The sequence below is a fragment of the Homo sapiens genome, chromosome 20, assembly GCF_000001405.40.
Source record: "Homo sapiens chromosome 20, GRCh38.p14 Primary Assembly".
Taxonomy (NCBI): Eukaryota; Metazoa; Chordata; class Mammalia; order Primates; family Hominidae; genus Homo; species Homo sapiens.
Genome location: NC_000020.11, coordinates 32,981,409 through 33,004,433, shown reverse-complemented (window position 1 = coordinate 33,004,433; position 23,025 = coordinate 32,981,409). Strand labels below are relative to the sequence as shown.

Sequence of the window (23,025 nt, the reverse complement as noted above, 5' to 3'; positions counted from 1 at the left end):
ACTTTTCAGGGGACATTCAGAGGCATCAGCCCCTTCCTCCTCACCAGCTCCCAGAGTTCCCATCTCCATCCCCAATCCTAAAGAAGGAAATCGATGCCACGGTCCTCAAGGAGCCCTGGGGACCCAGGCGCCCTACTCGAAGATGTGGCCCACAATCCCAGACCCCGGAGGTGAGGATGGCAGCCCCTCCCTTTGCCCAGCCCTTTACAGTTTACAAAATGCTGCCCCTCCACCCTGTCCTTGGAGATGAGTGGCATTGTCAACTGTACTGTACAGAGACAGCCACCAAGACCAGAGAGGTTTGGCAGTGGTATTCCCAAAGTCTCCCAGCCAGGAAGTGGTGAAGCAGCCATCCTTCCAGCACGCATTTATTGAGCATCTACTGTGTGCCGGGAAATGCACAGAGGACGGGGAACACGGTGTGGCACCAGTCTGATGTGCTCCGTTCCCTCATGGAGCTCACGGTCTAGTGCAGGAGACTGGTATGAAAGAAGGAAACAAGTATTTCGCCATCTTTATCTGTCAGAAAGCCTCTGAATGCAGGTGACAGAAATTCCAACTTAAAATGATGCCTATCTCTGGGCACCCAAATCTGGGTGTATATCCCAAGAGAGTATACCAAACAATCCCCAAGGGTGAGAAAAGAAATAACCAGGCTAGAATGTATGTCTTTCATCCTCTTTTAATTTATATTATTCAGGAATGTTACCATAAATCTGTACATTTGGGAAGGGTAAACAATGTATTAGTACAATTGGGTGTATATATAATTTATTAATAAACCAATATAAATACTCTGAGGTGGTATAAACAAAAATGTTTAAAGACCTTTGACTTAAGAAATAAGGGAAAATTTTAAATCTCACATATCAAGAGGTCCCAAGGTGCAGGGGGCTCCGGAGTGTGTTAATTCCTCAGTTCTGCCACCCAAGACCCAGGTTCCTGTCATCATTCTGCTCTTTTAGCCCCCTCTCATGGTCACAAGATGGCCACCACAGTTTCAGGTGTCACGCAGAAATGTGGCGTCTAGGGGAAGGAGAATAAGCATCGTTTTCTGTGGGTCTCATTTAGCTAATCCTAAACCTAACTTTTCCCCCAAGTCCCTTACCTCGTAACCACCCCCCTACCTCACCCTACCTCACCCCTGCAGACTTCCTCACCCTTGAACCAATCACAGCACAGGGAATGGGAGCACGACAGCAGGCTTCGACCAATCAAAATGGCCTAAAATCACATTGGGTAGGAGCAGACAAAGGAACAAAACCAAGCTTCTGCCAACCTCGGGGACATGGCGACAACCGCCTGTGACTGCCACAGCAACCTGGGTCTTTTCCTTGATGGATACCTGGATTTGGGGTCAGCCAGACCTGGGTCTGTCCCTGAATCACAGGCTGGTGGTGTTGGGAAACCTTCTCTGTACCTCAGTTTCCCAATCTGGAACGTGGTATGCACATTCCAAGGACACTATGTTCCTCATAATTGTAAAATGCGACTATGAATCTTATCATCCCCAGGATTGCCCAGCGAGGCCGGAACACCAGCAGGATGGCAGAGGACACCTCCCCAAACATGAGTGAGCAAGGACAGGTGCCCTGGTATTTTCATGGGCAGCTGAGGGGCTGAGGCTCAGGGATGTCAAACGGGCAACCTGGGGCTACCCAGCAAGGGGCAGGGGCAGGGATGTTCGCACCAAGCTCTGGGTGCTCCCTAGGTCTCTGCAAGCACCAAATCAAGAGGCTGGCAGTGACATGACAGTCCTGTGCTCTCTGCAGATGACAACATCCTGTTGCCTGTCCGCAACAATGACCAAGCCCTAGGCCTGACTCAGTGCATGCTGGGATGTGTGTGTACGTATATACTGAATAATCACCTTCGTCATCAATATGGGTCTGGGGAGAGGGTCCAGCCTCGGCCCAGGCTGACCTGGGGGTGGCAATGCCTGCCCTGGACTGCAGGGGTGGTGGGGAGCTGCAGGTTGAACTCTGGAGTTCTACCCATCGGAGGTATCATTCCTGCCAAAGTCTTTGGTGGCTGGAGAGGGGAACTGGGAGGGAGGCTTGCTGTCTGGAGGAGGAGTTAACTGCCAACCCTCCTCTACCACCAGTCTGGCTGCTGGTTTCACCCATCCATCCACCTGTTGAGTTCATCAGTTCTCCCAGACCTTATTTCATAGGTACATCCACCCAGTCATCCCTCTTTCTGTTCATCCACCCATCCTTTCAGTCTCCCATTCTCTCATCTATCTCCTGATTCATCCACCTCCAAGCCAGACAGCCATTCCCTTCTTCCTTCTTCCATCCACCCCTGTGTCCTCTCACCTTCCTGTCAATTCTGAGTCCCCTACTTTTTGCCTAGCTCCATAGTGGGCATTCTGGGATGAACCAGACAAGGCCCCAGCTCTTGCCAAGCTCCCAGTGTCTAGAAATGGGCATTGTTACATTCCAGGCCTTTTGTGCTCCTGAGTCACGATTAAGTGTTTATTGGCCAAGCGCAGTGGCTCATGCCTGTAATCCCAGCACTTTGGGAGGCCAAGGCGGGCAGATCACGAGGTCAGGAGTTTGAGACCAACCTGGCCAATACAGTGAAACCCCACAAAAATTAGCCGGGCGTGGTGGCACGCACTTGTAGTCCCAGCTACTCAGGAGGCTGAGGCAAGAGAATCGCTTGAACTTGGGAGGTGGAGGTTGCAGTGAGCCGAGGTCATGCCACTGCACTCCAGCCTGGGTGACAGAGTGAGACTCTGTCAAAAAGGAAAGAAGGAAGGAAGGGAGGGAGGGAGGGAGGGAGGGAGGAAAAGAAAGAAAGAAAAGAAAAAGAAAGAAAGAAAGGAGAGAAAGAAGAAAAAAGAAAGAAAGGAAGGAAGGAAGAAAAGAAAGAAAGAAAGAAAGAAAGAAAGAAAGAAAGAAAGAAAGAAGAAAGAAAGAAAATGTCTGTTAACTGCCAGTGGCAACCAGTGCCCACCTGTAGTGACCTGTACTCACTCCAGGCTAGTGCGTACCCATAAGCAGAGCCTGGTTCTGTCCCAGGCTCGGCCAACAAGTCGAGAGGGTCTCCCAGCTCCAGGGCCTCCCCCAGCCCCAGAAAGGTCAGCAGGTCCTTGTAGTGGGACAAAGATGAGGGCGTAGTGAGTCACTGCTTTTCTGTCTCCCGTGCAGCCTGGTTCACCTGTTTTGCCTGCTCCCTGAGAACTCAGGCCCAGCAGGTTCTGTTTAACACGTGCAGGTGAGCAGGGAAGGCAGGGGGAGGGTGGATGGGGAGTGGGAAATGGCAGCTGGGGACCATAACAGCCCCTCCATCAGTTTGGATCTCCCCTTGGTAGCCAGACCAGAAAAGCTATCCCAAACCTGGCTTTTATCAAACACTCCCACCCCAGAACCCACTGTGGCCCCCCATTGCTCCAGCCCCTCAGCCTGCAGTGTCCTGGAATCCTGTCCCACCCTTCCTTTCCAAGCTGCTCTCACTTGGCTTCCTGCCAGGGACCCATTGGGCCAGCAAGGCCAGGGTTCTCACTCCCTGGGCACACCATTCCTATTCCTATTCCCACCTCCACACATTTGCACGTGCTGTTAACTTTTTTTTTTTTTTTTTTTAGACAGGGTTTCACTCTACCGCCAGGGCTGGAGTGCGGTGGTGCCATCACGGCTCACTGCAGCCTCTACTTTTCGAATTCAAGCAATCGTCCCACCTCAGCCTCCCAAGTAGCTGGGACTACAGGCACACACCACCACGTCTGGCTAATTTTTGTATTTTTTGTAGAGACAGAGTTTCACCATGTTGCCCAGGCTGGTCTCAAACTCCAGTGATCCTCCCACCTCAGCCTTCCGAAGTGCTGGGATTACAGGCATGAGCCACCGCACCCAGCCCAGCACATGCTGTTCTTCCTGCCTGGAGGGCCTGCCCCATTCTTTCCTTCCCTTTTCCTTTGCTGTCCTTGGAAATTCTTCCAAACTCCAGCAGATATATCCACCTCATTCATTCATTCATTTGAAGTTTAAATTTTAAATGTTTTCTTAACATCTATTCTGAGCCTAGCTCAGCCCTGCCACTCATGAGCTCCCAGTCAGGTGGGAAAGGCAGGCACCAAAACATTGCCAAGTTCACAGGGTTGGGAGCATTGCCTGTGGAGGTCTTTGGAGGAGGGGACATTTGAGCTGAATCCTGAAGGACACGTTTACCAGGGAGAGAAGAAGGGATAGGGCAAACAGCATGCCTACGGAGAAAGAGAGTGACGAGGAGGAGGGTGAACACTTGGCAGGGCCTTGCCCACCTGATCTTGACCACCACTCCCTGCCTTCCAGATGCAAGCTGCTGTGCCAGAAGCTCATGGAGAAGACAGGCATTCTGCTCCTCTGTGCTTTCGGTGTGTCCCAGGGCCCTGCCCAGTCCCAGGTGGAGGTATCCCTGGGCCCTGGCACTGATTATAGGACACTGGGCAAGACACTGCACTGCCACGTGACTCAGTTTCCCCATCTGCCTGATGGGTGTTGCTGTGAGAATTATGAAATGAAATGATGACCATGAAAATATTGTAGAAGCCAAGAAATGCTTCAGAAGTTATAAAGCTCTCCCCAAACCGTGTTATGAACATTGTTACTTCCGCTTTCTGGGTTTCCATGGCTTCTTTCCAGCCACCACCCCCACCTCGCACAACACAGCTTAGCTTTCCCAAGCAAAGGAATCTCCTCCCTCCACTGACATATACTGGCTTTGGAGTGGAGGCTGGGGGTGGGGTAGGGAGGGAGAATCAGCTCCCCATGGGAAAATAGACAGTGAATCCTAGAGAACCGTCCCACTTTAAAATCCAACAACTAGGACTTCGATAAATAACACCTTTGTTGTTGTTGAGACAGAGTCTCACTCTGTTGCCAAGCTGGAGTGCAGTGGCGCAACCTCGGCTCACTGCAACCTCCGCCTCCCGGGTTCAAGCAATTCTCTGCCTCAGTCTCCCGAGTAGCTGGGACTACAGGCGCGCGCCACCACACCCTGCTAATTTTTGTATTTTTAGTAGGGATGGGGTTTCATCATCTTGGCCAGGCTGGTCTTGAACTCCTGACCTCATGATCCACCCACCTTGGCCTCCCAAAGTGCTGGGATTACAGACGTGAGCCATCGTGCCCAGCCTAAATAACACCTTTATTGTGACGCTATTAGAAATGGGTTTCTTAATTTTGTTTTCAGGTTATCTATTGCTAGTATATAGAAATACAGCTGACTTTTTGTACCTTGATCTTGTATCCTGCAACCTTGCTGAACCCGATTTTTAGTTATAACACAAGGCAAGACACCTAACCTTGGATCCCTTAGAATTCTAATGCAAGATCATGTCATTTGCAAATAGTGGTAGTTTAACTCTTTTCTGCATGATAATCTGGACGACCTTTACTTCTTTTTTGTTTTTTAAGACAGGGTCTGTCTCTGTCACTTAGGCTGGAGTGCAGTGGTGCAATCATAGCTCACTGCAGCCTCAAACTCCTGAGTTCAAGTGATCCTCCCACATCAGCCTCCTGAGTAGCTAGGACTATAAGCGTGCACCATCACCCCCAGCTAATTTTTTAATTTTTGTTTAAATTTTTTTTTTTTTGGAGAGATTGAGTCTTGTTGTGTTGCCCGGTTTGGTCTAGAACTCCCAGCCTCAAACCATCGTATCTCAGCCTCCCAAAGTGCTAGGATTACAGGTGTGAGACACCACGCCTGGCCTACTTCTTTTTCTTGACTAACTGGCCTGGCTAGAACCTCCAGTACCATGTTAAATAGAACTAGCAAGAGGAAGCATCCCTGTCTCATCCCTGATCTTAGGGGAAAAGCGCCCAGTCTTTCACCATTAAATAGGATGTGAGCTGTGAGCTCTTCATGGATGGTCTTTATCATGGTGAGGAGTTTCCCTTCTATTCCTAGTTCGTTGAGGGTTTTATCAAGAAGAATAAATAAATTTTAAAGGCTGTTTTTGTTTTTTGGTTTTTGGGGTTTTTTGAGACAGAGTCTCTGTCACCCAGGCTGGAATGCAGCAGCATGATCTCGGCTCACTGCAACCTCTGCCTCCCGGGTTCAAGCGATTCTGCTGCCTCAGTAAAAGCTGTTTGTTTTTTAGACAGGGTCTCAACTCTGTTGCCCAGGCTGGAGTGCAGTGGATCACAGCTCACTGCAGCCTCGACTTCCTGGCACAAGTGATCCTCCCACTTCGGCCTCCGGGTAGCTGGGACTATAGACGTGCACCACACCGGGCTAATTTTTGTATTTTTTTTTTTTTTTTTTTTTTTTGTAGAGATGGGGTTTCACCACATTGGCCAGACTGGTCTTGAACTCCTGGGCTTAAGTGATCTGCCTGCCTCAGCCTTCCAAAGTGCTGGGATTATGGGCGTGAGCCACCACACCTGGCCAAGACTTTTAAATAATGGCTTGAATGGTGGCTTTTCAGCCAGCATGGAGATCATAAAATGCAGAGCGCCTTCTTCTCTTTGCCAGTTATCCCCAGTAGAGTTGGAACAGGGAAGGGGGAGCCACAGATGACTTGGTTTATGTGCCATGTATTACACATTTGATATCATCTGATCATGAAGTGGATATTATTGTTATTCTTATTTTACAGAGGAGGGAACAGAGGCATAGAGCATTAAGTAATTCCCCCAGTGTTGCACAATGCTGGCAAGTGGCATAGCTGGGATTTGAACCCAGATGTCCTAACTCCAGCACCTAGGCTCTTCATCTTGCATGTTAAATGGCTCATTCTTATTCTCATGGCCTCACAGGATTCTGGATGTTTTCTATTCACTTACCATCGAAAATGAAAGTCTGGCAGGTGAGTGTGCACCCTCCTCAGGCCCCACAGCTGACAGGTCTCACCCTAACCAGTCAATATCACCTCCACAGCTCCATTCATTCTCACCAAATGGGGCCCCTCATCAGTTCCTGACTTGACCCAGATCCAAATCTCACCCTTCATCGTACCATCCACCTAGAACCCATCTCTCTGCCAGAGGTGACTTTCAAAGATTGGATGCAATAGTCCCTCCTCCAAGATGGCTCTCCTGTATTGACTCTCAGAGATGACCCATCTCTCCTTTCTCAAGGCCCCACTTAAAGTGGGGTGGTGATAACAGGGAACACATTTCTGTACTTAAGGCAGCTTGTCCTTCTGCTTAACAGCAATGATACTCATTTGCTTTCAGGTTTCTGAGGAGGAAGGAGGAGGAAATAAGTAGCGAAACTCCCTACATGAGGTCTGCAAAAAGTCTCAGAGGACCTCAGAAAGGGAATCTGAAAGGCCTGTCCCTCCCTCTCCTCTTTTCCTCCTTATGAACCCCTTCATATCCATCAAGGTCCATCAAGGTCCGGCTAAAATATCACCTCCTCTAGAAACACCCAGGCAGAAGTTGTCACATTCCTCTTTCCTCCGATAATTTTCTGTGGTCATGACTGTCTCTCCAACTGTACTGGCAGCTTCTTGAAGGAAGGAGCCAGGTCCTATTCACCCCAGCAATGTTTAGTTTGGTGCCAGCAACAGGGTTGCCACTATCCATGTTGGATGACTGGATGGCCAGATGGGAGTGTGCATGGAGAGAGAATGGATGGGAGGATGGACAGATGGAAGGTTGGATTTGATGGATGTAGGACTAGGGGAAAGAGATAGGAGGCTAGGTGAATACATGAATAGGTGAATGGGTGGATGAAATGATGGGTGGATGCAAGAGCAGATGGGATAGATGAGTGGGTGGGTGGGTTGGTGGATAGATGGATGAATGAAAGAGTGGGTAGATGGGTTAGGGTATATGGATTGGAGTGTAAATAGATGGGGGAAGTTGGGGAGTTGGAAGAACAGATGGATAAGGGAGGGTGGGTGGGTATAAGGGTGGATGGATGAAGGTGTGGATGGATGGATAAAAGTCTGGAAGGATGAATAAAAAGGGCAGTAAATTAGAGTTTGGAGAAATGATAGGTGGGTAGACGGGTGGAAGAGTCAACAGGAAAGTGGATGAATGTATGGGTTTATAATTGTGGGAGAATAGATGGATGAAGTTCTCCTGGGGCCAGATTAAGCCATCTGAAGGAGACCCCTTACTTTCTCAATACTCCACCAGGATGACAGCATAAATGGTCCACTGCAGAGCTTGAGGTAAGAGGAATCTTCTGGGTAACCATATTATTACCTAAAAAGCAGAGCTATAGCCAGAATCTGGGGTGTATTGGCTACAAATATAGGCTCTGCAGTCAGATCAACCTGGGTTTAAATCCTAACTCCCATGCCTTCTACATGGCTGACCTTAGGCAAGTCACCTATTCTCTCTGGGCCTTTGACTCCTCATTTATGAGATGAAGCATAACACCCATCTTGCTCTTGGCAATTATGGGTGCTAAAGAAGATGCAAAGTGTCTTGAATAGCTCCTGACCCATAGTCAGTGCTCAGCAAATGGTAGCTGAGAAGAAATTTTAACCAAGACACCACCTGATGGCAGCATCCTTAATTGCAGACAAAATACTCAGGAATATTTGGAAGGAATGAGCTGGGTATAAAGATATTCCAAGCAGAAAGAAGAGAATGAGTAATGTTTTAGAGATAATAACCTGATGAATGGGTCCAGGGATGGGCCCAAGAGATTAGGAAAATCTGAAACTCATTCTTTGAGAGCCAACTAGCAAAGGGAAAATCTGAGGGTAACAACAACGCATCACAAATCAACCTGTTCTTGTTATCACTCCTTCCTGATAAGGTTGTACCAGGAGAAGGTGCGACATCACAGTGGGGAAATCCAGGACCTCCGAGGTAGCATGAACCAGCTCATTGCCAAGCTCCAGGAGATGGAAGCCATGTCCGATGAGGTGAGACGCTGGCCATTCTGCCCCAAACATCTAATTTCTCTTTGTTTGATGTCCTGTTTCCTATACCTCAAGTGTTCTTTCTTGGTTTTATCTCTCATTTTGAGGGAGCACATCCCCCAGTGACTTTCAGGAATACAGTGAAAGAAGTATATTTTTAGTGCTTGTATGTTTAAAAGCATCTTTTTCTATCCTTGTACTTGGTTGATAGTTTGGCTGGGTACAGAATTCTAAATATGAAATAGTTTCTCCTGAGAATGTTGAAGGAAGCCCACCACTCTATTATAGTTTATACTGTTGCTAATGAGAAGTCTAATGGCACTCTTATTATTGATCCTTTGAGTATGATCTATTTTTTATCCCTGGGAGCTTGTAGAAAAATCTTTTTGTCTCTAATGTTCCTCATATAACCTGGTTTGTGGTTTGCCGAGCTTATTAAATCTGTGGGTTGATATTTTTCAATAGTTTTGGGAAACTTTTACCTTTTATCTCTTAAAATATTTCTTCTTTCCATTATCTGTCTCCTTTCCTTGGATTCTAATTACACCTATGCTAGGCCTATGCTTTGAAAGCCTTTAGAGTGCTTTATGTGATTCCTACGCTATTACCTGGTTTGTTTTTTCATTCTTTTTCTGTTATGTGCTTATGTTTTGATATTTTCCTATTAACCTTTCTTCAGGTTTACTAATAATCTTGCATCATTCTGTCTCTCCAATTTATTATTAAATCCATGCATTTAGTTCTTTTTGTTTTTTTAATGGAGTCTCCCTCTGTCGCCCAGGCAGCTCACTGCAACCTCTGCCTCCTGGGTTCAAGTGCATCCTACACCTGAGTAGCTGGGATTGCAGGTGCACATTACCACGCTCAGCTAATTTTTATATTTTTAGTGGAGACAGGGTTTCACCATGTCGACTTGGCTGGTCTTGAACTCCTGACCTCAAGTGATCCACCTGCCTCAGCCTCCTAAAGTGCTAAGATTACAGACGTGAGCCACTGCATCCAGCCTTAGTTCTTAATTTCAGATACTGCATTGTTTAGTTCTAGGATATACATTTGATTTTTTTCACAGACTTTAATTCTGTGGTGAAATTCCCCAACATTTCACCTATGTTGTCCATCTTTTCCTTTATTTTAATTAACACATTAGCAACAGTTATTTTAAAAATCCTTGTCTGCTAACTCCAATGTCTGGATCATCTGTGGCCTCCCTCTGTTTTCTGCTTTTTATCTTGGGTATCAATGATATGGTCTTGCCTCTTCAAGTCTAGTAACTTTTAGTGGTTTCTCAACATTGTATACAAAAGAACTGTAGCTGTTCCAAATAATTATAATTCCACTAGAGAAAGTTCCCCTTTTCTTTATAAGGAGGATGAAATAGACTGGTCACTTCTATCTAGACATGCACTAAGCTAGTTCAGACAGACCTGGATCACAATTTTAAAAAAATTTATCCAGAGGTTTTAAGCTTAACTCTTTAGACTCCTTCCCATGCAGCTTCAAAAATTTGACAACTGTCTTAGTGGCAGACTTACTGTATGTTTGAGGCCTCACAAGTCTCCAAATGTGTCTCTCACCCCTGCATGAACGCAAAAATCTCTGGGCCTGGTGGCAGCCTTCTCCGCCAGGAGCAAACTTGGATTCCTGGGTTCTAATTGTGCCCAGGATTGATTTAGTGCCCCCAGGTGAAGTGCAGCTGAAGCACAGTATTGACTCATCACCACCCCTTCTAGGGTAATGGATCTCAAAGTACGGCCCACGGCCCACGTGCCTGCATCATCAGTATCACCTGGGAAAATGTTAACAATTCGAATTAATAGGCCTCACTCAGACCTTCTGAATCAGAGGCTCTGAAGATGCAAACCAATCATCTGTGTTCCAGCAAGCCTTCCAGGTGGTTCTGACATATACCAGAGAGAATCACTGTTCTAAGGCCTTGATCTCTTGCTTGTTGTGTTTTGCGGTGCCCTCCCTCAAAGGGACTTCGTTTCCTAAGCACTGTGAAGATATGAAGTTTTATTCTGCTTTTCAGAAATGTTTGAAGTGGCCTATAGCCTCCTATAGTCTTGAAATTCAGTTAATACCTTGTGAAGAAAAGTGGCCATATTTGAGGCTCCTCAAGTCCCCAGTTTTGTTACTTTAGCTCTTTGTCACCATTAAGAACTTTGCTTCCTTCTCTTTCACCAGTAGCAGCAGCCCATTGTCTGGCCTAAGCCCAGATCCTTAGCCTATGCCTAGAATCGTCAAATACCCCCAGAGATTTAAAACAAACGGACAAAAAATGCCAGCACATCTCAGAATGGTTTTCTGCTCTGCAGAATTTTAGTTCATCTGGTCCTTGTTGCTTCCACAGATGTGCCTATGGGCTGGCCACCCTTTGGAATCCGTCAATCTGGAAACTCCTGGCCTTTGGGCCTAAGAAATGTTATTTATTCATGTGACTAAATTGGTGATTTCCCACAGCAGCATTTGCTCTATTCTTATTTTTGAAGCTCCTGTTGTTTGAATGTCTGCTCCTGAACAATTATAATTTTTTTCATATCATTGGGTGAACATATATACTTATTGATCTTGGCGGTAGATATAACTAGGAGTGGAATTGCTGGATCATGAGGTATGAGTGTGTTCATGTTATTAGATGCTGCCAAATAGTTTTTCAATTTACGCTCCCATGAAAAATATATGCAAATTCCAGTTGTCCCACATTCTCACCAGCAATTGGTGTCATATGTCTTTTTTACTTTATTCTGCAGGGTGAGAAGTGGTATCTCACTATGGCTTTAATTTGCATTTCTGGTTGTTAATAATGTGGAGTGTCTTTTCTTGTATCCAGCGGCCATTTGGATTTTGTCTGTTGCCTTTTGGGGGAGAGTGCCATTTCTTATTGATATGTCGGAGTTCTTCTGTGTTCTGGGTAAACATATTTTATTGGATGTACATATTGCAAATATCTCCTCCCAGGCTATAGCGTGGCTTTTCACTCTCAATGGTGATGAACAAAAATGTCTAATTTTAATTAAGTCCAGTGTATCTATGTTTTTTTGTGCAGTGCTTTGGGTATCCTATTTAAGAAACCTTCACCTGTCCCAACAGAGCCCTTCTGTTTTACCCTCTCCAGAGAATAACTTCTAGTCTTCTACTGGGGAACAGAGAAGTCCACTCAGCTTCTCAGAGTGAGAGGGAGTCCCCAGGGAATATGCAGATTCCTCTTAACTGTCTTAACACCCAATTCTCTACCCCAATTTCAGGGGCACCTAAGGCCACCAATCCTGAGCTTTTTGAGGATGGCCAGTTTCGGATTCAGATTTCTCATTTCTGCTAAATCAGTGGTTCTCAATTGGGGATTATTTTGCCCCCTGGGGAACATCCAGCAATGTCTGGAGATATATTTGGTTGTTACAATGTGAGGAGGAGACGCTACTGGCATCTAGTGGGTAGCCAAGGATGCTGCTAAACATCCTACAAGGTGTAGGACAACTTCCAGAATATTGCTGCTGTCTCCAGGGCCACTGCTGGGACACATTGTGCCTTTTTGCAGACTGGAAAAAACTATCTGTGCTGGGCAGATGAATTCGCAAAATGCACCTTCCTCCAAATCAAAGAACAGGGGAAGAGCTGGGTTTCAGCACCCACACAGGGCCCCTCAACTGGGAACCTTTCTGCTGTGCGCAACGTGCACAACCATACGCAGCAGCCTGGTTTTCTCCTCTCCTGTGCTTCCTGTTCATATGGGTTTGGGTCTTTTCAAATCCCTTTACTGAAGCTGTAATGGAGTGTTGGGAGAAACTAAAATTACGTGATGTCTTCGATCCATCAACTTTACCTAGAAGTTGAATTTTTAAAAGAGTTCACAAAGATAAATTCCATTGTGCAAGATTCAGCAAAATTTGCTAAAACTCATCTTTATCTTTTATTGTCCCAAAGTCCTAGGTCTCCAGTGCCCCTGAATCTCCCCTCTAAGCTCTGTTCAGACAGACCCAGGAGGAGAGACCGTGTCAGTCACTCACTGTCAAGTGAGGCTCTTGGCAGGTGTTTCCTCTGCAGTGGGGAGGGAAGCCCCGCTATGACTTACAAAGGCAGTAAGGTATAGTGATTATAAGGACTGGCTCTAGAGTCAGGCTGCTAGGCTTTGAATTTCATCCCCACCACCTATAAGCTGTGTGACTCTGGTCAATTTACTTACCGTCTTTGTGCCTCAGTTTCTTCATCTAGAAGATGAGTTGTAAGGATTAAACATGGTAATTCATGTAAACTTAGACTAATGTCTGTCCTATGGTGAGTGCTCCCTAAATGTGTGTTGCATTTAAACAAAGGCAGAATCCAAAGGCATGCACTCATCAATGTGCAATCATTAAGTGCCTACTGCGTGCTGGGGATCCAGGATCGGGGATCAACTAGAGCTCGTCCTTGCCCTCAAGCCAGTCCCAGCACCTGTGGATCCCAGAGAAGAAGACTGCACTCAGCCTTGGGGCAGAGAAAGGGTGGGGGCCATCAGGGAAATTCCTTAGGGTTGGCGACCCAGTTTTGAAAAGTAATAGGTGAGATTATTGTCCCCAGTAAACGAGGGGAGGAGTTGGGGATTTTTTTGCCTTTTGGAGCTGTGTAACCTCAGGCAGGTCATCAACCTCTCTGAGCCTCCAGTTTGCACATCAACAAGACAGAATCATAATCACTGCCTTGTAACACCCTGGCTATTGTTCTAGTTACCATTGCCACATAGCAAACCATCCCAAAACTTAGGGGTGTGAAACAACCACTTGTGCTCAGAGATTCTGTGGGTTAGGAATTCAGACAGGACACAGTGGAGATGGCTTGTCTGTGTTCCATGGTATCTGGGGCCTCAGCTGGGAAGACTTGAAGGCTGGAGGTGACTCTACATCTGGGGCTGGAATCATCTGGATTCACTCACGTGACTGGAGATTGATGCTGGCTATCAACTGGGACTCAGTTACGGCTGTTGATCAAAGCACCCATCTGTGGCCTCTCCGTGTGGCCTGGGCTTCCTCTCAACATGGCAGCTGGCCTCCAGGAGTGGCTGTCCCCAGAGAACCAGGCAGTGCTGTATCATTTTTTAGGACTTAGCCCTAGATGTCACACAGCATCACTTCTGCCAAGTCATTAGCCCAGACTGGTGGGAAGGGAGCTTAGACCCCAACTCTCAGTGGGAGGTCACACTGAAAGAAGAGCCTGGAATGGGAGACCTTGTTGCAGCCATTTTTGGAAAACAGAATCTTCCACCACTGTGAAGAGTCTAATAAAAAGAACAGCTGGTATTTATTGTGCACCTACTGTGCTAAGTGCTTTGCCATCCGCATCTGGCAGCAGAGTGGAGCGGTTAAGGGCCTGAACTCTGGAACCACAGTGATCGCTCTGCCTCATACCAGCTGGGTGATCTTGAACAAGCTACACCTTTGTGCCTCAGTATTCTCATCTTTAATACAAGGATGATAATAGTGCATACTTCTTAGGGGTGCTGGGAGGGGATAGGGTGAGCATATGTGAAGCCGAGGATAGCCCTGGCACATAGTAGGGGCTTTACAGATCCACAGTGGGAGGTAGACACGATTATTGTCCCCGTCTTACAGGTGAGAATATCGAGACTCAGAGGGGCAGTAAGTTGCCCAAGGCCCCACAACAGTAAAAGTTGGCCTGACGTCAGAGCCCCTGCCTGAACCTCACTGAGACTCCGGGACCTCCATATGACATCTGGTCACAGTGGACTTGAAAGCACCCAGTGAACCCAGGGTGGGGTCAGGATGGCTTTGTGTCACCTGGGCTTTCACAGAGCCACAGGCTTCCACAGGCAGGGGTGGGCTGTTAGGGAGAGGACAGCGTCCTGCAGCCCCCTGTTACCTCCCGTGGACACGTGGGGATCACAGTCCGTGACAACACACCAGGGCACAACTTGTGTTTTCTGCCTTTTCAGCAAAAAATGGCCCAGAAAATAATGAAGATGATACACGGAGATTACATCGAAAAGCCAGACTTTGCCCTGAAGTCTATAGGTAGGTGACCCCCTTCCCCACCATCTGACTGCCTCAAGTGTCCTGGGAAGCTGTACACAGGGTGGGTTTCAGTTCTGGTGTGGTACTCCCTCTGCCGCTGGGAAGTTCATCCTCTGTTCCAAGCTGGTTTTCTTGCTACAATTTTGTTTTCTCTCAAGGGGTTCTGGGACGGGGTGGGGTATGGGGGTAGGGGTGGGGTGGGGTGGGAGGGAACACGGGAATCCACAGGCCCTCAACATTATAGAAGATCTATAAAGACCCTACTATGTGCTTAGGCTGTTCTTGGCTTTACCTCTCCACCACCCCCACCCACCACTCTTCTCCAAACCCGATGCTGGGCACACAGGTCAGCAAGACAGAGCCATCTCCAACCCGCAGTCAAGAATCAGTGCTTCGGCCAGGTGTGGTGGCTCACGCCTGTAATCCCAGCACTTTGGGAGGCCAAGGCGGGCAGATCACGAGGTCAGGAGATCGAGACCATCCTGGCTAACACGGTGAAACCCCGTCTCTACTAAAAATACAAAAAATTAGCTGAGCGTGGTGGTGGGCGCCTGTAGTCCCAGCTACTCGGGAGGCTGAGGTAGGAGAATGGGGTAAACCCGGGAGGCAGAGCTTGCAGTGAGCCTAGATCGCGCCACAGCACTCCAGCCTGGGCGACAGAGAGAGACTGCTTCTCACAAAAAATAAAAAAAGTAAAATAATAATAATAAAAAAAAGAATCAGTGCTTCAGGGCTGGGCTTGGTGGCTCACACCTATAATCCCAGCACTTTGGGAGGCCGAGGAAGGCGGATCACCTGAGGTCAGAAGTTCAAAACCAGCCTGGCCAACATGGTAAAACCCCATCTCTACTAAAAATACAAAAGTTAGCTGGGCGTGGTTGTGGGCACCTATAATCCCAGCTACTCGGGAGGCTGAGGCAGGAGAATCGTTTGAACCTGGGGGACGGAGGTTGCGGTGAGCCAGGATCGCGCCACTGCACTCCAGCCTGGGCAACAGAGCCAGACTCTGTCTCAATAAATAAATAAATAAATAAATAAATAAAATAATAATCAGTGCTTCCGGAAGAATAAGGCAGGTGGCGAGGAGGGAGGGGACCTGGGCAGAGAGGCCTCCCTCTCAGGAGAACGTTTGGGCTGAGACTTGGTGAGGAGAGAAAGTACTCCAGACAAAGGGAGGCTGTGAGGAGGCCGGTGAGAGCCATTCAGGGACAGCTGGGAGGAGGCAAAGTATGGGCCGCAGGCTGCCCCCAACGCAAACCCCTACCAGGCAGCACCTCCAACTCGGGCACCCCCAGGATCAGTGAGACGCGGGGTCAGATAGTGTCAGCCCAGCCCCTGAGTGACACTGGGCCTCACTTAGCCTCTCAGAGCTGGAATTTCCTCCTCTGCACAATGGGTGTCGGTCGTCATCACAAGACTGTTACGTGGGGAGCGCTTACCCTGTGCCAGGCACTTTGGGAAACGTGCTCTGATGATTCATCTCAGCGCCACAGCAGCCCTATGACGTGGGGGCCGTTGCCACCACCATGGCTCTGCTAATAATAGCCACCATGAGAATTGCTTTAACCTGGGAGGCAGAGGTTGCCGTGAGCCAAGATCGCGCCACTGCAATCCAGCCTGGGGACTGAGCAAGACTCCATCTCAAAAAATATAAGATAAAATAAAAAATAATAGCCACCATGATTACCATTATTAACATGGCTGTAATCACATTTCCTAGAGGAGAACAGGGCCAGTGACTCATCCAAAATGCTCGCCCGGCACATAGTCAGGGCCCATCAGTGGCGTCCCCTCCACCAGGCAGAAGCCCGGCTGCTTGGCTGAGACCCCCTTCTCCTATACAGGGGCCAGCATTGACTTTGAGCACACGTCAGTCACCTATAACCATGAGAAGGCCCACTCCTACTGGAACTGGATCCAGCTGTGGAACTACGCACAGCCCCCAGACGTGATCCTTGAGGCAGGGGGGATGGCGGGAGATGGGACAGCGGCAGGGGAGTGGTCCGGGCAGGGTTTGGGGACAGGAGCTGGCAGAAGAGGTAGGGGGTGGGAGCAAAGGGAGTGGGGGCAGGGGCGGGGTTAGAGGTAGGAGCAGGAGACAGATGCAGGGGCAAAGGCAGGGAGCAGAAGGAGGGGGCTACTGACAAGGCGGGGGCTGGGGAGAAGGCGGGGGCAGGAGGTGAGAACAGACAGCAGGGGCTGCTGGGGCTAGGGTAGGAGCGAAACAGAGGGACAGCTTGCTTTGGCATTGGGAGGGACCCCACCACTCAGCCCTTAAGATTTGAGGGTCAGAGAAACCTCAGGACTACACTGGGCATGGGCCCATCATAGACCCATTTTGCAGAAAAGGAAACTGAGGCTCAAAGAGCCAGGTCACTTGACTGTGGCCACAGAGCTGGTCACTAGTATGTAGCAGAGCCAGAGTTCAAACCTGAGCTCTTCAGCCCTCCAGGATCCTGCCTCACAGATGAGGAAAATGAGGCCCAGAGAAGGAAAGGGCTTGTCCTGGTCACAAAGCAGGTGCCTTCATTCAGTGAACACTGGCTGAGAGTGTCATCCCAGTGGCACACCCTGGGTGATGCCAAAAGGTCACAGGCCACTCATCCGTGGGTTCTACCTTAAGGAGCTCCAAGATCTTGGCACTCGAGGTCAAGCTGGGGCATTGGCCTTGCTCAGCTTGGACGGGGCAAGGGGCTTCCTGGTGGCCGCAGCCGAGGACTAGCAGATCCGCAGGCAGATAGAACGCAGGGGCACAGGCCAAGCACAGGGCCCGGGAGTGGGGGGTGGTGCACACATCCAGGCTGGGGCGGGGGACGCGGCGGGCAGTGGCTGGGTTGCAAAGCGCTGGCTGCAGTCAGGTTTGGAGCAGTAGTGAAAAGCAGCCCAGCCAAGACTCTGCCCCTCCTGGGCCCTCTCCCAGCTCCAGCCTGACTGAGCTCTCCAGGTCCTCACATCATCAAGCCTGGCTCGCCCCTGGTCCTTTCCCGTGCTGTTCCCTTAGCTCCCTTTCCCAGCTGGCTCCTCATCTCCCCTGGCCCCAGCTCCTCAGGAGGCCTTCCCTGACACCCACAGCCCCCTGCACCCCTGGGCTAGCATCCACTGTTCAAATAAGGACTGTCCATGCCATGGCTCCAGAAGCTCAGAACCGACCGAGTAATCGCCTTTCCTGGGTGATTTCCATCAAACCTCTTTCTCTCCCTGGGCCTGTTTCCCCGTCTGTGGGGCAGGAGATCGTGGTGCTTAATGGCAAGTTCCAAGGTCAGATTCCCTGGGCTGCACTTCCAGCTCTGCATGGCCCTGGACCAGTCATTGTCCTGCTCCCCCAACTCAGTTTCCTCACCTTCAAAACGGGGATAGTGATGATGCCTAAGTCATGGGGTGATTGTAAGACCATGTAAAGAATAATGGGAGGGATGAATGAGTGAATGAATGAATGAGTGAGTGAGTAAATGAATGAATGAATGGGTGCCAGTGGGGAGCGGGTGGAGGCTGGGAGGTCCCAAGCAGGCCCCTCCCTTACTGCATTGAACTGAAGTAAGGCTTACCCCCTGCATGGGTAGTCAGGAGAGCTTCCTGGAGGGGGTGGCACTTGAGCCAAGCTTTGGAGACAAGAAAGGACTGGCTCACCCAGGAGGTCCCAGGAAGTACAGGGGATCAAAGGTGGGATGATCCCCCTACCCACCCAGCATATCCCTTATTGTACTTGCCTCTTCTAGCCCAACGTGACACCTGGCAATTGCTGGGCCTTTGAGGGTGACCGCGGCCAGGTGACCATCCAATTGGCTCAGAAGGTTTACCTGTCCAACCTCACGCTGCAGCACATCCCCAAGACCATCTCATTGTCAGGCAGCCTGGACACCGCCCCCAAGGACTTCGTCATCTATGTGAGCACTCCCCTGCAGGGAGCTATGCTTAGCTAAAGGGACAACCTTCCAATGGTGATATTCCAGGCCTGGGGTAAACAGTGTCTGCACAACACTTGCAGGCTGGAGGGGCTGAATGCAGCTTGGTTAAGGCTGGAAGTGGCCAGCGCTGGGGTCCAATTTCAGCCTTCAAGGGTAGGGGATAAACAGCTACTCTATTTTAAACCAAGCTTTTCAGAGCCGAGATAATCTTCAGAGACCATGGAGCCCCCATTTTGCTAAGAAGGTCCGAAGCGTTATCTGAACTGTCTCGGTGAAATAAGGTCCAGAGAAGGATCAGGGAAACACCCTAATCCTACAAGTCAATGGCAGAGCTAGTCATAGACCCCCAGGCTCTGACTCCCAGGCCAGTGCTCTTTCCTATTCATTACACTGTGCCACAGTGAAACGGTGCCCAAAGAGGTAGTGAGCTCCCATCCTGGGGAGTGTGCAAGTCTCCACTGGAGAGGGGAGACACCCTCTGAGGGCCCTGCTTGTATCTGACGCCTTCACCTTGGTTCTGGTTCCACAGGGCATGGAGGGCTCCCCCAAGGAGGAGGTGTTCCTGGGGGCATTTCAGTTTCAGCCAGAAAACATCATCCAGATGTTCCCACTCCAGGTACCTGCGAAGAGCTGCCTGTGCTGAGCACCTGCTGAATGCACAGTGTGCAGTCTGTACCCAGGGACCCCCTCTTCATCCCCCAGTATCCCCAGGAGGTGCCCAGTCATGACTAACCTGTTTGACAGGCAAGGAAACTGAGGCTCAGAGAGTAGGAGCCGCTACCCAGGGCCAAATGGGACTCCAGGGAGATCCCACCGCCTGTGGCCATGTCCCCTTTTTCCTGATGAGCCCAGGAGCCCTCTTGCTGTGTTTCTTCCCGGGGACAGCAGACGCTGAGCAAGAGGTTCCCATTGGGCAGGGGCTGCTGGCTCCAAAGGTAGAGTCTCCGTAGTGGGTGGCCCCATAATTATCACTGGATCCAACCACAGGTGGGGAAACTGAGGCCTGAAGGAGAGGGGTTTGGAGACAGAAGCAGGTCCGGAGGAGTGACCACTGGAATGGCCCTGGGGCTTGACAGGGTGAAGGTTCAGGCTTGGGAATCAAACCCATACTGGCCCGAATTTCTGCCCAACCACAAATTATGTGTGAGCTTGGGCCAAGCCCTGCTTCTCTGGAGCCTCAGTTTTCCCCTTCTGTCATTCCCTGGGAGGTTGAAAACATTCAGTGAAGGCCAAGCCCGCCCCACTTTTTACACTAGATAGGGAGAGTAATAAACACAGGCTCCACCCCCTCTTGCTTGGCAAAAACGGGGAGGGGCCTCACTTACAGAGAACTTACTATGTGCCGGGAGTCTGTGGATGAGCTGCCTCTGTGAATGATTCTCTTCTAGAGGCCGCCTGTTCCCAAAATCTCATTTCATGCCCACCGCAATCCTGGGAAGCAGATATTACCATTCCCATCTTACGGGCGGGGCAGGGCAGGAGTGGGAGACTGAGGCCCAGAAAGGGTGGAGGTTTGCCCAAGATCCCACAGCATTAAGGCCAGGACATTTCCTTACCCACAGCATGTCTGTCCTTCTGGCCTCAGCATCTTCAGTAAGAGCTCCTGAATATCGACTTGCTGTGAGGCCTTGGGACAGTCCATCCTCCTGTCTGGGCCTTAGTTTTCCCACCTATGAAATGGGAAACTTCCCTTCCACTCCCCACCTTTGGAAAGGCAGGGTGGGAGTCTATGGGTGAGCTGCCTCTGTGACTGATTCTCTTCCAGAACCAGCCGGCCCGGGCTTTCAGTGCGGTCAAGGTGAAGATCTCAAGCAACTGGGGGAACCCAGGCTTCACTTGCCTGTACCGCGTGCGAGTGCATGGCTCTGTGGCCCCGCCCAGAGAGCAGCCTCACCAGAACCCCTACCCTAAGAGAGATTAAAATTTATTCTTTACCCCCAGACCAAGTCTGAGTGTCTTTTGGCCCCAAAGAGAGGGAGTAGGCTAGCCTTTCACATCTGAGCATTTGATGGTTAGCAATGGTTGATCCCATTCCGGGTGCCCAGGCACCTTCTCAGCAGCCCCAGGAGACCCCATTCACGGATGGGGACAGTGAAGGCTCCAAGCAGCAAACTGACTTGCTGCAGATGACAGACAACAAATGGCAGCTCCAGGATTCAAACCCAAGCAGTCTGACTGTTGCACATGAGAAGCCTTTCTTGCTTCAAGTTAAGCTCTGTCCCCAAACTACGTGTGACATCGGTCAAGACCCTACCCTCTAGGAGCCTTGGTCTTCCCAGCCATAAAATAGGGACAGGATTATGACTATTGTGTCAGACAAGGTGATAGATGAGAGGTCCCAACCCTACCCACTATGGAGTGTTTCAACGTCATACTGACAATTTACTGTGTGACATTGGGCATGTCAGACACCCTCTCTGGACTTCAGTTTTTCCAGGTATGTAAGTATTGTTTCCCAAACTTCAGTCACTCATATTTTGTCTGTGTAATCTTTGCCATAGCTGAGGTCCATCCTGCTCTAGCATTGTCTTGAGAGCTTATAGAGGTGCTAAAAACAGTGCCTATTCCTGGAACCTACAGGAGCTGTGTGCACAAAGCTCTCAGCACAGAGCATGACACATGATAGGTGCTGGGTAAATGACCCTCAAGGTTATTGTCAACCTCTGGCCCCAGGCAAGTGATAGGAGGCCTAGTCCTCTGGGAGGGGCTGAGCTCCAGAATAGGGCAGGCTGGCCCAGCTGGAATGGCAGCAGGAACTGGAGCCTTCGAGGGAGGGAATTCCTAGCAGGCAAGGGCAGGGAAGTGAAGACTCTGGCACAGGGCCAGCTGGGCATTAGAAGGGTGGACAGATCGGAAATATGCTTGTCTCCAGGGAGGGCACCCTGTACCAGCCCGTCCTGCTGCAGAATCCGCCATTCTGGCCATCTGCCAGGCCTCCACGCCAGCACCCGGGGTTCCTCCAGCACCTGGCCCAGGCCCATCTCTGATGGGCCTCACAGTGGAATGGGCTTCAAGGGGTCGCCTCATATCCCTGCTGCAGAATCCGCCATTCTGGCCATTTGCCAGGCCTCCACGCCAGCACCCAGGGTTCCTCCAGCACCTGACCCAGGCCCATCTCTGATGGGCCTCACAGTGGAATGGGCTTCAAGGGGTCGCCTCACATCCCTGCTGCTCCCTGCTCCTCCAAGCAATCAGGGCACCTGGAAGCCATACACGTCCAGCCTGGCATCATTAGGGTAGTTTTTCTGTAAACCATTCTTGTTATTAAAAAGCCAAATCAAACTGAGGTTTGCTAAAAAGCGAATCCATTGAAAAACCCCACTTCCCCCACCCCCACATGCCCCTCCCAGGCTCACTCCTCCAGCTGTTCTGTGTTTTTTCCCAATCATTTGTCTTTAAGTGTCTTTTGTTCAACAGATTTTCTTGAAAATATTATCACCTCAATGTTTTTCTTTATGGCATCTAAGTTGTGTGCATTGTTGGGAAGGACATCCCCAGTTCCAAGTTTATAGACATATACTCCTGTACTTTCTCCTGCTAATCTTTTTTTTTTTTTTGGAAACAGTGTCTCACTCTGTCGTCCAGGCTGGAGTGCAGTGGTGTGATCTCGGCTCACTGCAACCTCCACCTCCCAGGTTCAAGCAATTCTCCTGCCTCAGCCTCCTGAGTAGCAGAGACTACAGGCGCCCACCACCACACTCAGCTAATTTTTGTACTTTTTGGTAGAGACGGGGTTTCACAATGTTGGCCAGGCTGGTCCTCTGTTAATTTTATTATACACACATTTTATACATACATATATATGAATATATATACACTTGTTGGTGCATAAACCCACACAATATATAAATGTATAAAAGCTCCTAATGCATCTGGAATTTATTTTTGTGCATGGTGTGAGGTAGGGAATCTAATTTAATTTTTGTGTATTACTACCCAAAGACCACAATATGGGATCATCATTGAATGGTTCGTCTTTTCCCAGAGCTTGGAAACACTCTCCATGCAGTGCCTGGCCTCTTTTTTGTTTCACTGAGCCCTGTCTCGTCCTGCATGACCACCATGCTCTGTGACTCCAGCTTTGGAATATATTTGGTACGTACCAGCACCCCCTCTTTCTTCCTGTTTCAAAACCTCCTTGGCCATTCTCATCCACTTTCTTTTCCAGGCAAACTTGAGAATCAGCTTGTCAACTTGCATTTTTAAAATGCTGCTGAATTGGCACTGGTTTTATGCATGACGAACAAATCTCTTGGCCATGTCAGCTCTTCTCAAAACATAGATTCTTCTCCCATTTCTTATGGTT

At 49.3% G+C, this 23,025-nt stretch overlaps 1 protein-coding gene across 5 annotated transcripts, besides 2 other annotated features; it reads left to right on the top strand.

Moving 5' to 3' along the window:
• SUN5 (Sad1 and UNC84 domain containing 5) lies at positions 1-20,659 on the top strand. 5 transcript variants are annotated; one of them, XM_011528573.2, is made up of 14 exons: positions 1-170; positions 1,515-1,573; positions 1,773-1,847; positions 2,105-2,173; positions 3,156-3,222; positions 4,299-4,360; positions 6,747-6,796; positions 8,076-8,110; positions 8,707-8,815; positions 14,736-14,814; positions 16,659-16,774; positions 18,531-18,698; positions 19,249-19,335; positions 20,485-20,659. In XM_011528573.2, exons 1-14 carry the CDS (start codon positions 94-96, stop codon positions 20,638-20,640), a joined length of 1,209 nt encoding a protein of 402 aa, XP_011526875.1. In that variant the 5' UTR covers positions 1-93; the 3' UTR covers positions 20,641-20,659. The 5 variants fall into 5 exon arrangements, with proteins under 5 accessions (XP_011526875.1, NP_542406.2, XP_011526876.1 ...); NM_080675.4 differs by lacking the exon at positions 2,105-2,173; XM_011528574.2 differs by lacking the exons at positions 1,773-1,847; positions 2,105-2,173.
• Positions 2,721-3,221: an enhancer, noted in NCBI's record as "H3K4me1 hESC enhancer chr20:31589019-31589519 (GRCh37/hg19 assembly coordinates)". NCBI's record gives its function as "activates a minimal SCP1, AML or CMV promoter by ChIP-STARR-seq in primed H9 embryonic stem cells {active_cell/tissue: H9 hESC(primed)}" and the evidence as "EXISTENCE:reporter gene assay evidence [ECO:0000049][PMID:30033119]".
• Positions 3,222-3,722: an enhancer, noted in NCBI's record as "H3K4me1 hESC enhancer chr20:31588518-31589018 (GRCh37/hg19 assembly coordinates)". NCBI's record gives its function as "activates a minimal SCP1, AML or CMV promoter by ChIP-STARR-seq in primed H9 embryonic stem cells {active_cell/tissue: H9 hESC(primed)}" and the evidence as "EXISTENCE:reporter gene assay evidence [ECO:0000049][PMID:30033119]".

Coding starts and splice junctions, on each gene's coding strand:
- SUN5 (XM_011528573.2), top strand. CDS start 94: ATGCCACGGTCCTCAAGGAGCCCTGGGGACCCAGGCGCCCTACTCGAA. Junction 8,111..8,706: donor GGTCCACTGCAGAGCTTGAG/GTAAGAGGAATC, acceptor CTTCCTGATAAG/GTTGTACCAGGAGAAGGTGC. Junction 8,816..14,735: donor TGGAAGCCATGTCCGATGAG/GTGAGACGCTGG, acceptor CTGCCTTTTCAG/CAAAAAATGGCCCAGAAAAT.